The sequence below is a fragment of the Homo sapiens genome, chromosome 10, assembly GCF_000001405.40.
Source record: "Homo sapiens chromosome 10, GRCh38.p14 Primary Assembly".
NCBI lineage: Eukaryota > Metazoa > Chordata > Mammalia > Primates > Hominidae > Homo > Homo sapiens.
In genome coordinates, this window is record NC_000010.11 from 119,554,430 (window position 1) to 119,570,005 (window position 15,576).

Below are 15,576 nucleotides of genomic sequence, written 5' to 3' on the forward strand. Positions count from 1 at the left end.
TTTTTTTTTGAGATGGAGTCTCGCTCTGTCGCCCAGGCTGGAGTGCAGTGACGCAATCTCAGCTCACTGCAAGCTCCGCCTCCCGGGTTCAGGCCATTCTCCTGCCTCAGCCTCCCGAGTAGCTGAGACTACAGGCGCCTGCCACCATGCCCGGCTAATTTTTTTATATTTTTAGTAGAGACGGTGTTTCACCGTGTTAGCCAGGATGGTCTCGATCTCCTGACCTCGCGATCCACCCGCCTCGGCCTCCCAAAGTGCTGGGATTACAGGCGTGAGCCACCGTGCCCAGTCAAAGATATTTTTTAAAAATCAGTTTCAGGTGTTTGCTTTGTAAATTGCTCCCTCCTGCTATTTTTTTTTTTTTTCAGACAGAGTCTCTGGAGTGCAGTGGTGTGATTTCGACTCACTACAACCTCTGATTTCCGGGTTCAAGCAATTCTCCTGCCTCAGCCTCCTGAGTAGCTGGTATTATAGGCACGTGACACCACACCCAGCTGATTTTTGTATTTTTAGTAGAGACGGGGTCTCACCATGTTGGCCAGGCTGGCCTCAAACTCCTGACCTCAAGTGATGCACCTGCTTTGGCCTCCAAAAGTGCTGGGATTACAGGCATGAGCCACTCTCTCATGTTATTTTTAAATGTTAAGGAAAAAGGAGTTTACGATTTCCAAGAATCTTCACCCAGTTCTTCTTTCAAATCTAGATACAGGCCGGGTGAGGTGGCTCACGCCTGTAATCCCAGCACTTTGGGAGGCCAAGATGGATGGATCACCTGAGGTCAGGAGTTTGAGACCAGGCTGGCCAACATGGTGAAACTCTGTCTCTGCTAAAAATACAAAAATTAGCTGGGTGTGGTGGCTCGCATCTGTAATCCCAGCTACTCAGGAGGCTGAGGCAGGAGAATCACTTGAACCGGAGGGGCGGAGGTTGCAGTGAGCCCATATCAGGCCACTGCACTCCAGCAGGGGTGACAGAGTGAGACGCTGTCTCAAAAAAAAAAAAAAAAAAAAAAAACAAACTTCAAATCTAGATATAAAAATGTCCTCTGAAAAGCAAAACAGTGTACATGTGCACACACACTCCACAGACACCCACACATGTAAGGTGTTAGTGTAACATGTTAACACTGTTCTGGGGTGAGTGGGTTGTTTGTTTTAAATAATCACACTGAAACACACACCTCCCAAGAGTGTCGTCCTATTCAGTGTAATCACTCACACTCCACTGAGTCAACTGAGCAGCTACCACTGCTCAGGACTTCTCCCAAGCTTCTTTGGAATGTCACTCACATTCTCTCGGACATTTCTAGAACAATATTTTGTGGACCTAATTGGTTTTTGGAAACTGCCAAAAACCATTGGTGAAAATTGGCAGAATAAGGTGGGTGATAACTGTTGTGAAATGCTGGGAAACAGGGAGGGGTGTATGAGACAGAGTTATAAAATAGTTGGGCCAATTTACTGGTGTGCCATGTAAATCATGCTTGAAATAACTTTAGAAGAATCAGCATTTGGGGCCAGGCCCGATGGCTCATGCCTGTAATCCCAGCACTTTGGGAGGCTGAGGCAGGTGGATCACTTGAGACCAGGAGCTCAGACTCACCTGATCAACATGGCGAAACTCCAACTCTACTAAAAATACAAAAATTAGCTGGGCATGGTGGCTCACGCCTATAGTCCCAGCTACTCAGGAGGTTGAGGCAGGAGAATCACTTGAATCTGGGAGGCAGAGGTTGCAGTGAGCTGAGATCACACCACTGCACTCCAGCCTGGGTGACAGAGCAAGATTCTGTCTCAAAAAAAGAAAAAAAAATCAGCACTTGGCAAGAGGATTACAGATGACTAGCTTTTAGGGCAAACAGACATTTCCCATTTTGGATATGTGTCTAGCATGATTAAAGGAGGCTCACTTTATAAAAGCAGTAGTTACATTACTAAAGTTTATGGCCACCATATATACACCTACGAATGTTCCTTACTATTAATAAAAATAATAGAAATTGTGTGAACTATTATAATAAGCCCCACAAGACAGAATTCAATTCAAAAAAATTGTTTTAACTATGTTTTTAACCTAAGCCTATTCACTTACATTTCTCTGATGTTGAAAAATATAAAAGTCTTTAGTGGTTTTTATCAAAAGTCTTCTGGTTATTCATCTATACTTATAAACAAATCTCAAACACTTTCAATGCTTTTTAAAATCATAAAACCCAACTGAGAAATAGTTAGAAAGTAATCTTCAAAAGATACATCACTTATCAAACATTCTTATTTATGATTTCCAAATACATTTTATCAGCCATCAAATTTCAGCTAAAGGCTATTTTCCACCTGTTTAACATGTGGTTATAGGAAATATCTCAAAAAAGGTAGTAAACCTATAATAAAAATCATCTGACAAGAATGCAGGGACTGGCACGCACCAGTAGTCCCGGCTACTTGGGAGACTGAGGTGGGAGGATCGCTTGAGCCCAGGAGTTTGAGGCTGCAGTGAGCTATGACTGCACCACTGTACTCCAGCCTGGGTGACAGAGCAAGACCTCAACTTAATTTAAAAAAAATAAAATAAAATTCAGGGTCTGAATATTATGTTGTTCTTGCTCAACTTTTAACCAGCTGGAAACTTTCCAGAATCACTAATTCCTAGATATACACTGCTCATGTTCTCAGGAAATGTATTTTGGCTCACAAGTTTGATATTTTTATCAGGTATTAAAGGAACATTATATGTGTTATTATTAGTGACACAGATAATTTTACACCCTAATGAGAAAAGCTGAAATCATATATAAAGCCATAACTCAGATTTTGAAGATATTTAGGAGAGGAAATATATATGTGTGCATGTATGTATGTCTATACACATGTGCATATACATATATGTACACATATACACACATACACATGTGTGTTTATCTATACATATTTAAAGGGATTTGTAAACAAGCTGAAAAGCGGTGAGAGTCACTGGCACAGCAGCTATGTGAGCACACTTTAGAGACAGCCTGCATGGCTTACCTCTGTCAAGAGTAGGCACTAATGGGCTGGGTGCAGTGGTTCATGCCTGTAATCCCAGCACTTTGGGAGGCCCAGGCCGGCGGATCACTTGAGGTCAGGAGTTGAAACCCCATCTCCACTAAAAATACAAAATTAGCCAGGCGTTTTGGTGGGTGCCTGTAATCCCAGCTATTTGGAAGGCTGAGACAGGAGAATCGCTTGAACCTGGGAGGTGGAGGTTGCAGTGAGCCGAGATCCCACCACTGCACTCCAGCCTGGGCGACAGGGTGAAACTCCAACTCGAAAAAAAAAAATTAATAATTCCTAACTCCACAGAGATCTAAAAACTAATTCCGTAGAGATCTGGCAATTGTCAGATGCAAAGTTTTAAGCCCAAAGACCTTTCCATAAAGAAGTTACCTTTATGGAAAGGTAACTTCCACAGTGGCTCACCCCTGTAATCCCAGCACTTTGGGAGGCCGAGACGGGTGGATCGCCTGAGGTCAGGAGTTTGAGACCAGCCTGGCCAACATGGTGAAAACCTATCTCTACTAAAAGTACAAAAATTAGCCAGGCGTGGTGGCAGGCGCCTGTAATCCCAGCTACTCAGGAGGCTGAGGCAGGAGAATCGCTTCAACCCAGGAGGTGGAGGCTGCAGTGAGCTGAGATCGTGCCATTGCACTCCAGCCTGGGTGACAAGAGCGAGACTTTGTCTCAATAAAATAAAATAAAATAAAATAAAATAAGTTACCTTTATGAGGAGGAAAATGCCACAAATTTCTGGTTATCAGGATCATTAGATGATCCCTATTGATAAAGACAGAATCCATTAACAGTACTTAGCTTTACATGCCTCCAGTCATAAATACCAAAATACTTTCTTTAATAACTATAAGTCCCATATATTTACATAATAGGTTATAGAGTGCCATTTTGGGTCCAGTCCATGTTTTGAAGGGATTTATAAATACAGGTAAAACGTGCTGCCAGACATTATTTACAACCTAAAACAATCTTTCCAGCTGGGCCTAGTCTGTTCTCAGCCACCAGTACCCTCAACCTTTTTTAGTCAGAGTCACTAGAAAGTTTTTTCACCCTGAACGTAAACAGCAGTCAATTCTCCAAGTGCTCACATAACATCCTTGACTTTACAGGCGAGATGACATTATGGCAACTGAAGACTGAAGATTGGTGTTGGCTACACTTCGCAGGCACCTGGCAGCTAATAATATTGTTGAGGTTGCTGATCCACTTTATTCCTTCATGTCCATTATTTTTATGACATTACATTAAAAATACCAGATTACAGATATGGTCTCACTCTGTCACCCAGGCTGGAGTAGAGTGGCACGATCATAGCCCACTGCAGCCTCGAACTCCTGGCCTCAAGATATCCTCCCACCTCAGCCTCCTTAGTAGCTGGGACTACAGGCGTGTACTGCTGCACTTGGCTAATTTTTTATTTTATTTTATTTTATTTTATTTTATTTATTTATTTATTTATTTATTTTTTATTGATCATTCTTGGGTGTTTCTCGCAGAGGGGGATTTGGCAGGGTCATAGGACAATAGTGGAGGGAAGGTCAGCAGGTAAACAAGTGAACAAAGGTCTCTGGTTTTCCTAGGCAGAGGACCCTGCGGCCTTCCACAGTGTTTGTGTCCCCGGGTACTTGAGATTAGGGAGTGGTGATGACTCTTAACCAGCATGCTGCCTTCAAGCATCTGTTTAACAAAGCACATCTTGCACCGCCCTTAATCCATTTAACCCTGAGTGGACACAGCACATGTTTCAGAGAGCACAGGGTTGGGGGTAAGGTCATAGATCAACAGCATCCCAAGGCAGAAGAACTTTTCTTAGTACAGAACAAAATGGAGTCTCCTACGTCTACTTCTTTCTACACAGACACAGCAACAATCTGATTTCTCTCTTTCCCCACATTTCCCCCTTTTCTACTCGACAAAACCGCCATCGTCATCATGGCCCATTCTCAATGAGCTGTTGGGTACACCTCCCAGACGGGGTGGCGGCCGGGCAGAGGGGCTCCTCACTTCCCAGAAGGGGTGGCCGGGCAGAGGCGCCCCCCACCTCCCGGACGGGGCGGCTGGCTGGGCGGGGGCTGCCCCCCACCTCCCGGACGGGGCGGCTGCCAGGCGGAGATGCTCCTCACTTCCCAGACGGGGCAGCTGCCGGGCAGAGACGCTCCTCACTTCCCAGACGGGGCGGCTGCTGGGCAGAGGGGCTCCTCACTTCTCAGACGGGGCGGCCGGGCAGAGACGCTCCTCACCTCCCAGACGGGGCGGCGGGGCAGAGGCGCTCCCCACATCTCAGACGATGGCGGCTGGGCAGAGACGCTCCTCACTTCCTAGACGGGATGGCGGCCGGGAAGAGGCGCTCCTCACTTCCCAGACTGGGCGGCCGGGCAGAGGGGCTCCCCACATCCCAGACGATGGGCGGCCAGGCAGAGACGCTCCTCACTTCCTAGATGGGATGGCGGCCGGGAAGAGGCTCCTCATTTCCCAGACTGGGCGGCCGGGCAGAGGGGCTCCTCGCATCCCAGACAATGGGCGGCCAGGCAGAGACGCTCCTCACTTCCCAGACAGGGTGGAGGCCGGGCAGAGGCTGCAATCTCAGCACTTTGGGAGGCCAAGGCAGGCGGCTGAGAGGTGGAGGTTGTAGCGAGCCGAGATCACGCCACTGCACTCCAGCCTGGGCAACATTGAGCACTGAGTGAACGAGACTCCGTCTGCAATCCCAGCACCTCGGGAGGCCGAGGCTGGCAGATCACTCGCGGTTAGGAGCTGGAGACCAGCCCGGCCAACACAGCGAAACCCCGTCTCCACCAAAAAAATACGAAAACCAGTCAGGCGTGGTGGCGCGCGCCTGCAGTCGCAGGCACTGGGCAGGCTGAGGCAGGAGAATCAGGCAGGGAGGTTGCAGTGAGCCGAGATGGCGGCAGTACAGTCCAGCTTGGGCTGGGCATCAGAGGGAGACCGTGGAAAGAGAGGGAGAGGGAGACCATGGAAAGAGAGGGAGAGGGAGACCGTGGAAAGAGAGGGAGAGGGAGACCGTGGAAAGAGAGGGGGAGGGGGAGGTGGAGGGAGAGGGGAGGGGGGAGGGGGAGAGGGGGAGAGGGAGAGGGACTTTTATTTTATTTTTGAGACTGAGTTTCGCTGTTGTTGCCCAGGCTGGAGTACAATGGTGCGATCTCAGCTCACCGCAACCTCTGCCTCCCAGGTTCAAGCAATTCTCCTGCCTCAGCCTCCCGAGTAGCTGGGACTACAGGTGTGAGCCATCATGCCCAGCTAATTTTTGTATTTTTAGTAGAGAGGGTGTTTCTCCATGTTGGTCAGGCTGGTCTTGAACTCCCGACCTCAGGTGATCTGCCCACCTCAGCCTCCCAAAGTGCTGGGATTACAGGCGTGAGCCACCGCACCTGGCTTAATTTATTTTTTGTAGAGATGAGGTCTTGCTATATTGGTCTCGAACGCCTGGGCTCAAGTGATCCTCCCACATAGGCCTCTTTTTTTTTTTTTTTTTTGAGACAGAATCTTGCTCTGTCACCTAGACTGGAGTGCAGTGGCATGATCTCAGCTCACTGCAACCTCCGTCTCCCGGGTTCAAGCAATTCTCCTGACTCAGCCTCCCAAGTAGCTGGGACTACAAGTGCCCGCCACTACACCTGGCTATAATATTTGTATTTTTAGTAGAAACAGGGTTTCACCATGTTGGCCAGGCTGGTCTCGAACTCCTGTCCTCAGGTGATCTGCCAGCCTTGGCCTCCCAAAGTGCTGGGACTACAGGTGTGAGCCACAGCACCTGGCTTATCTCGGCCTCTTAAACTGTTAGGATTACACGAGTGAGCCATGGCTCCCAGCCACAATTCAAATTTTGGAAAACCAATTATCTGCCCTAATTATTACGCTCCAGCCAAACTACCCAATTTTTTTTTTCTTTTTGCATTCCTTCCCCACAAGTTACTCTGTGTCAAGTTTCTAATGTTGAGTTTCATCATTTCACTGACAACAGGCTTCTAAAACCCAGGAATACTTAAGATCTATTGGTATTTCTTTGGGTCAAATTGGTAGAGCTAAAGTACATTGAAGTCATTCAAATACATTCAAACTACACAGATTCCTTATAAATTACTGGTATCAAGAAAGGAAAAGATTCAAGAAGACATTACAGAATTCATCATATGTTATCAGAATTACTGATGTAGTCTATCCTAGCATAGAGTAGCTTTCTCAACCTATTGCATAAAAATTACCAGCAAGAAAGAATAGTACAAAATAAGGTTTATGGCTAAGTTGGCTCTGTATCATAATTATCCATTCTAGCATTCTTAGAAGGATCCTGGCTGGGCCCAGTGGCTCACACCTGTAATCCCAGCACTTTGGGAGGCTGAGGCAGGTGGATCGCTTGAGCTCCGGAGTTCAAGACAAGGCTGGGCAACATGGTGAAACCCGGTCTCTACCAAAAATACAAAAAAAAAAAATAGCCTGACATGGTGGCATGCGCCTGTAGTCCCACCTACTCAAGAGGCTGAGGTGGAAGGATCACCTGAGCCTGGGAGGCAGAGGTTGCAGTAAGCCGAGATCATGCCACTGCACTCCAGCCTGGGCAACAGAGTGGGACCCCACTTCAAAAAAAAAAAAAAAAAAAAAGAAGAAGAAGAATCCCACCTGTGATAAAGGCAATAACTGCAGTCACATTTGAATGGCTCATTTCTTGACTCATTCTGAACTCCCTTAAGTCCAGTGTCTGTTAGTTCTTTCAAGCTGAGAAAAATTGTTGAGTAAGAGGTATCTGTATTAACATCCTTTCTTTCTGCACAGATCACAATCAATGTCCTTACTCCTCTCCTCCTGTAGGGCAAGCCATCTCTGATCTCCTGTAAGATCTGTCCTGCTGTTGGAGTGAACCGTCTGGAAGAGGGGAGGGGAATTTGGTACCGGGGTTGAGTCAAGTTACTAAGATCCTTTACCAACATTTCTGAGCAGACGGGATGACAGGCTGCTGAATCTTCCTGGGAATTTTCTTCAGTGGGCATCCGAGAAGACTCTGGGGTCAAGGTTGGGTTAAGCTTTTGGGATGGGTCCATCAGTGGCCTAGTCACAGCTCTAAGCTCCTCTTGGATCGTTGGGTTTCTATGGGTGATTCTGGACTCTCAAAATTCTATTTTGAACACTCTATCCTTATTCTAGTCACTAATAATCCAGCACAGAATATTCCTGATGAAAAGTCCATCAGGGCCGGGCACGATGGCTCACACCTGTAATCCCAGCACTTTAGGAGGCCGAGGCGGGCAGATCACTTGAGGTCAGGAGTTCGTGAGCAGCCTGGCCAACATGGTAAAACTCTGTCTCTACTAAAAATACAAAAATCAGGTGGCACACGGTGGCTCATGCCTGTAATCCCAGAACTTTGGGGGGCCGATGTGGGCGGATTAACTGAGGTCAGAAGTTTCAGACCAGCCTGGCCAACATGGTGAAACTCCGTCTCTACTAAAAATACAAAAATTAGCCAGGAGTGGCGGCAGGCGCCTGTAATCCCAGCTACTTGGGAGGCTGAGGCACGAGAATCACTTGAACCAGAGAGGCGGAGGTTGCAGTGAGCCAAGATTGAGCCACTGCACTCCAGCCTGGGTGACAGAAGTGTGATCCTATCTCAAAATAAAAGAAAAAAAAGAATTAACTGTATAACAGTAAATTAACTTGAAAAGTCATTCTGGCCATTGTGTAGGAAAAAAACTAAGAAGGGCCGGGTGCGGTGGCTCACACCTGTAATCCCAGCACTTTGGTAGGCTGAGGTGGGCAGATCACGAGATCAGGAGTTCAAGACCATCCTGGCCAATATGGTGAAACCCCATCTCTACTAAAAATACAACCGGGTGCGGTGGCACTTGCCTGTAGTCCCAGCTACTCAGGAGGCTGAGGCAGAAGAATCGCTTGAACCCGGGAGGTGGAGGTTGCAGTAAGCCAAGATCATGCCACTGCACTCCAGCCTGGGTGACAGAGCGAGACTCCATCTCGAAAACAACAACAACAAAAACTAAAAAGGTTAAAAGCTTAGGTAAGATACAAGAACAGTTAAAAATGAAAAAAAAAAAATCTGATTATATCTAGTGCTGGCAAAGCACCTGGAGTTTTCATTTCAGTACTGCATGTGAGTGTAAACCAATCCATCGTTTTGGAAGACTGCTGCAACGTCTACTAAAACTGATCAAACACATCTCCTATTACCCAGAATTCCATTCCTAGGTATACACTAAACAAAATGTGTACACATGTTCCCCAAAGGACATTTTAAAAATTCCTAGGCTGGGCATGGGCTCACACCTGTAATCCCAGGACTTTGGGAGGCCAAGGCAGGCGGATCACCTGAGGTCCGGAGCTCGAGACAAGCCTGGCCAACATAGTGAAACCCCCTCTCTACTAAGAAAATAATGGCTGGGTGCGGTGGCTCATGCCTGTAAACCCAGCACTTCGGGAGGCCGAGGTGGGTGGATCACGAGGTCAGGAGTTCAAGACCAGCCTGGCCACGATGGTGAAACCCTATCTCTACTAAAAATACAAAAATTTGCTGGGTGCAGTGGCAGGCACCTGTAATCCCAGCTACTTGGGAGGCTGAGGCAGGAAAATCGCTCGAACCTGGGAGCTGGAGGCTGCAGTGAGCTGAGATGACACCATTGCACTCCAGCCTGGATAACAAGAGCAAGACTGCATCTCAAAAAAAAAAAAAAAAAAAGAATGGATCAATTGTAGCACATTCACATAATAGAATATCATACCATATCATTGAAAAACTCAGCTACACACACACACACACACACACACACACACACACGCGAATGAAACTCACAGTATCAAGTAAGCTGGATACAAAAGAACATATACTGCTTAACTCCATCTATATAGTTACAAAATAGACAAACTAATCTGTGGTCATATAAATCAGTGAGTGGTTATCTTGGGGAAGAGTGGAGGTTAGAGACTAGGACAGAGCATGAGGCTTGCAGGGTAATGGCAATGGTCATATTTCCTGGATCTGGCTACCATTCACATGAGTGTGTTCACTTTATGAAAATTCAGGCCGGGGTGGTGGCTCACGCCTGTAATCCCAGTACTTTGGGAGGCTGAGGCAGGTGGATTGCCTGAGCAACAAGGTGAAACCCCATCTCTACTAAAATACAAAAAAATTAGCTGGGTGTGGCAGCGTGCACCTGTAGTCCCAGCTACTTGGGAGGCTGAGGCAGGAGAACTGCTGGAACCCGGGAGGTGAAGGTTGCAGTGAGCCGAGATAGCACCACTGCACTCCAGTCTGGGCAACAGAGTGAGACTCTGTCTCAAAAAAAAAAAAAAAAAGCAAAGAAAATTCAGAGCTGTACACATATGACGTATACTTTTCTGTGTAATATTTTAATTTTTCAAGTATATATATGGTAGAGGCCAGATGGGAAGATACTGCAGTAGTCTGGATGAAGGAAGATATTGGGTTTTTTTTGTTTTGTTTTTGAGACAGAGTCTCGCTCTGTTGCCTAGGCTGCAGTGAAGTGGCATGATCTCGGTTCACTGCAACTTCCACCTCCTCAGTTCAAGCGATTCTCCTGCCTCAGCCTCCCGAGTAGCTGGGATTACAGGTGTGCACCACCAGTCTTGGCTAATTTTTGTATTTTTAGTAGAGATGGGGTTTCACCATGACGGCCAGGCTGGTCTTGAACTCCTGACCTCAAGAGATCTGCCTGCCTTGGCCTCCCAAAGGCGTGAGCCACCATGCCTGGTTAGATGTTGGTTTAGACTAGGGTAAGAAGAACCATAAAGTGATCCATTTATGTTTTTTGTTCGTTTCCAATTTTCCATTTTGTAACCACTTTAGTAAATATAATACAATCATCAGCAAATCTAATGTCAAAACGAAGCATTTTCTTGAAAGAGTAAATTTCAGTAAGCCTATATATAGCTGCGAATGAATGTAGGTAACTTCCAGGTATATTAAAAATTAAAACTTTCGTATTTGACAGCACAAATAGAATCCCGGTACTAATTTAAGACCTAACCAGATTAGGAATACAAAATATACGGCCAGGTGCCGTGGCTCACACCTGTAATCCTAACACTTTGAAAGAGGCTGAGGTGGGTGGATCACTTGAGGTCAGGAGTTCAAGACCAGCCTGGCCAATATGGTGAAACCCTATCTCTACTAAAAATACAAAAATTAGCCAGGCGTGGTGTCAGGTGCCTGTAATCCCAGCTACTTGGGAGGCTGAGGCAGGAGAATCGCTTGAACCCAGGAGGCGGAGGCTGCAGTGAGCCGAGATCGCATACCACTGCAGTCCAGCCTGGGCAACAAAGGGAGACTGTGTCTAAAAAACAAACAAACAAATAGAAACAATATATAAGCCACTCAAGAAACATTTATCCTTCATGATACAAGGGCAAACTGGCCAGGCATGGTGGCTTACACCTGTATTTCCAACACTTTGGGAGGCTGAGACACGAGGACTGCTTGAGCCCAGGAGTTCAAGACTAGCCTGGGCAACATATTGAGACTCTGTCTCTACAAAAAATAAATAAAAGCTGGGCACGATGGTGCACATTTGTAGTCCCAGCTACTTGGGAGGCTGCACTGGGAGGATTGCTTGGGCCCAGAATATCAAGGCAGTAATGAGCCATAATCACACCACTGCACTCCAGCCCCCCAAAAAGGGCAAACCAAATTCTAAATAACATACTACTTTAATTGTGCCTTCACATGGGGAACATCAAACAGTCAAATGTCAACACTCAAATTGCCTACTGTTTTCCTAGGATTGCTACAAGTCTTTTATAATTTGTCTTATTCTCACTTAAACAATTAAGAAACTTCTTTCTAATCCAACTAGTTTATCAGCAAATATGCTGAAGCACAAGCTGACTTCAGATGTCTGTGCTATATATATATATATTTTTTCCACTTCAAGAATCTCAACTGTGTCACTTCCCATGGCTAGTTCCATTTTTGTCTGTTATACTCAGATGTTGCCTGTCCAGAAACCCAGTTCTGCTGTGCTAGCAGCCCCTCTTCCTAAAACATGGCCCAGGATCACCCACATTCTTGGAGTGATATGCAGAAGTAGTTATGGTTCCTACCTGGCACACACCCAGCACATTCCCATTAGGAGTGCATCCTAATCATCTTTGTTCTTGTTGTTTTGAGACAGGGTCTCGCTCTGTCGTCCAGGCTGGAGTGCAGTGGCACAACCAGGGCTCACTGCAGCCTTGAAATCCTGAGCTCAAACAATCTTCCCACCTCAGCCTCCCAAGTAGATGGGACCCACAGGGGCATGCCACCATGCCTGGGTTTTTTTTGTTTTGTTTTTGAGACAGGGTCTCACTACATTGTCCAGACTGGCCTTGAACTCCTGGCCTCAAGCAATCCTCCCACCTCAGTTTCCCAAAGTGCTGGATTACAAGTGTGAGCCACTGTGGCCAGCCCTGACCACTGCTGAAAGATGCTTGGCAAACTACATTGCATAGCAGTAATGGATAACATTAACTACAAAAAAACCTAGATTTTAAAAAATCTGTACTTTTGAAAAAAAGAAAAACACCTAGTTTTTGTGAAAAATGTGTAACCATGGCTAGTAGTTTTAATCTCCCAAGCCAGGAAGAAAAAAGAAATCTAGGCCAATTAATTTAATTTTAATTACTTTTTTATTTATTTTTGAGAGGGAGTCTCGCTTTGTTACCCAGGCTGGAGTGCAGTGGTGTGATCTCAGCTCATTGAAACCTCCAACTCCAAGGTTCAGGCAATTCTCCTGCCTCAGCCTCTAGAGTAGCTGGGACTGCAGGTATGTGCCACCATGTCCAGCTAATTTTTGTATTTTTAGTAGAGACAGGGTTTCGCCATTTTGGCCAGGCTGGTCTTGAACTCCTGGACTCAAGTGATCTGCTTGCCTTGGCCTCCCAAAGTGCTGGGATTACAGGCATGAGCCACCACACTCAGCCAATTTTTTTTTTTTTTTTTTTTTTTTTTTTTTGAGACGGAGTCTCGCCCTGTTGCCCAGGCTGGAGTGCAGTGACACAATCTCAGCTCACTGCAAACTCCACCTCCCAGATTCAAGCAATTCTTCCATCTGTCTCCCGAGTAGCTGGGATTACAGGCATACACCATCATGCCTGGCTAGTTTTTTGTATTTTCAGTAGAGACGGGGTTTCACCATGTTGGCCAGGCTGGTCTCGAACTCCTGACCTCAGGTGATCCACCCACCTCGGCCTCCCAAAGTGCTGGAATTACAGGTGTGAGCCACCACGCTCGGCCCCGATTTATTTATTTATTTTTTGAGACAGAGTCTCGCTCTGTTGCTCAGGCTGAAGTACAGTGGCACAATCTCAGCTCACTGCAACCTCTGCCTCTCAGGTTCAAGCAATTGTCGTGCCTCAGCCTCCCGAGTAGCTGGGACTACAGGCATGCACCACTATGCTCAGCTAATTTTTGTATCTTCAGTAGAGATGCGGTTGTGCCATGTTGGCCAGGCAGGTATCGAACTCCTGGCTTCAAGTGATCCACCTGCCTCGGCCTCCGTAAGTGCTGGGATTTCAGGCGTGAGCCACCGGCGCCCCGCCAGGCCAATTAATTTTATTTCAGACTACCTTCACCCACAACTGCAGAGTCTCAGAATCTACCTTTTCACAAGCACCCCACCAATTCTGATCAAGTTCTACTCAAATAGAACACGAGGTAATGTTCTGGTTTCAAGAGGGAGACTAAATAAAATACATGTTTACTTTCATTTCCTCTTATCATATTAATGTATTTAACATTTACTGAACACCTACCACATGCCAAGAACTGTTACAAGTACTAGAATTTGTGTAGTTAACAAACCAAGTCCCTGCCTTCGGGGAGCTTCAACCAAGGAATGAAGTTATCCATTTTTAAAAAATAAAATATATCCCTGGGTATAAGAAATGTGGATTTTAAAGGACATCCTAATCCCTGTCATTTTACTGAAAATGCTCAAAGGCAACTATTGTAAAACAGGACCATTTGCCCAACATTCTAATACACAAGTAGAACCCATATTGCTAAATAAAAACATACCTTAAAGGAAATTGAAAACAAACTATCAGGGCCATCTATCAGCAAACATGTTGGTAATATTTCATTTTCAATAGGCTGGTAAGTCTCCTGGTAAGTCTTCTAGTCTTGATAAAGTGTACACAGTCTTAAACCAGGAACATATTACATATCAACACCCCACCCGATTATCCATTCATGGCTTACTACACCTGCCCAGAATTGTCTAGTCTCAGGTTAATGTGCTCCTGAATCAAGGACTTATCCCTCCTTCATCATCCTTCGTCACTTTTTCCCCAATCTGAACCCTTATTAAACAAAGTATGAGTTATGCCATCTGCTAAAATATAACCTAGCCAGAGAAAATTAAAAATGTTTTTCAAGTTTAGTCCTCTTCAAAAAGTAGCAAGCTAAGATGATTAAATGTGTAGTCTCATTTTTTAAAAAGCTGTTAAGACTTACACATTAGCTTTATTTTTGTGAGCAAAAGCAATCGTACAAACCCAATATGGAACAACTCAATTCTTAACTTGTAACCAGTAAAGTGAACTGAATGTGAAAACCTGAAATTTATACAATAATTCTCAGAACATGCACAGTTGCATATGGCTACGTATTTCATGCTTTATTTTGTCTAGATGGTTTCAGACTTCTCTTTGCTGGTATACCAAAACGTAAGGAAGAAAGATAAAGGACCAGGAAAAAAAATTACACTTGGGCAAGTTATGGTATCTGCTGATTTTATACAGCAAAATCTGGTTTACCTTAACAATGCTGTAATTCTATAGCACCATGACAACCAGGCTTTTTGCAAAACTCTTGTCAGTTCCCAAGAAGGAAGGAAAGTGAAAAGAGGAGACCCACGGGCAAGCTAAGCCTCGCTGGAAGATCAACAACTGGACAGCTCACTCCTGAGATTCCTTTCCAGCATACAGTCGCCCTGGCTTTCCTCAAACGCTATCCAAAAGCACTTCAGTTTGATTCATGTTTGCAAACTTTCCAAGCTGACTCCAAGACGTTATTAGATGTGGATCACTCCCAGAGGAACATCTCAGAGAAACAATGGTTAGTGAATTCTTTAAAGTGCAATAAATTGGAACAGACAAAATTCGGCATATGTATTTTGAGTTGGAAAGTTAAGGAAATAATTTATTGAACATACTTCTTTTGTCCGCTGTTACTCTGATATTCTTGTTTAAAAACCAAGCCATCAAAGTTATGTAGATCATGTCTCTCTCTTCCCCCAAACAAAAGCTTAATTCTTTTTTTTTTTTTTTTTTTGAGACAGAGTCTCGCTCTGTTGCCCAGGCTGGAATGCAGTGGCATGATCTCAGCTCACTGCAAGCTCCGCCTCCCGGTTCAAGGGATTCTCCTGCTTCAGCCTCCCGAGTAGCTGGGACTACAGGCGCCTGCCACCACGCCTGGCTAATTTTTTGTATTTTTAGTAGAGATGGGGTTTTACCGTGTTAGGCAGGATGGTCTCGATCTCCTGACCTTGTGATCCGCCCGCCTTGGCCT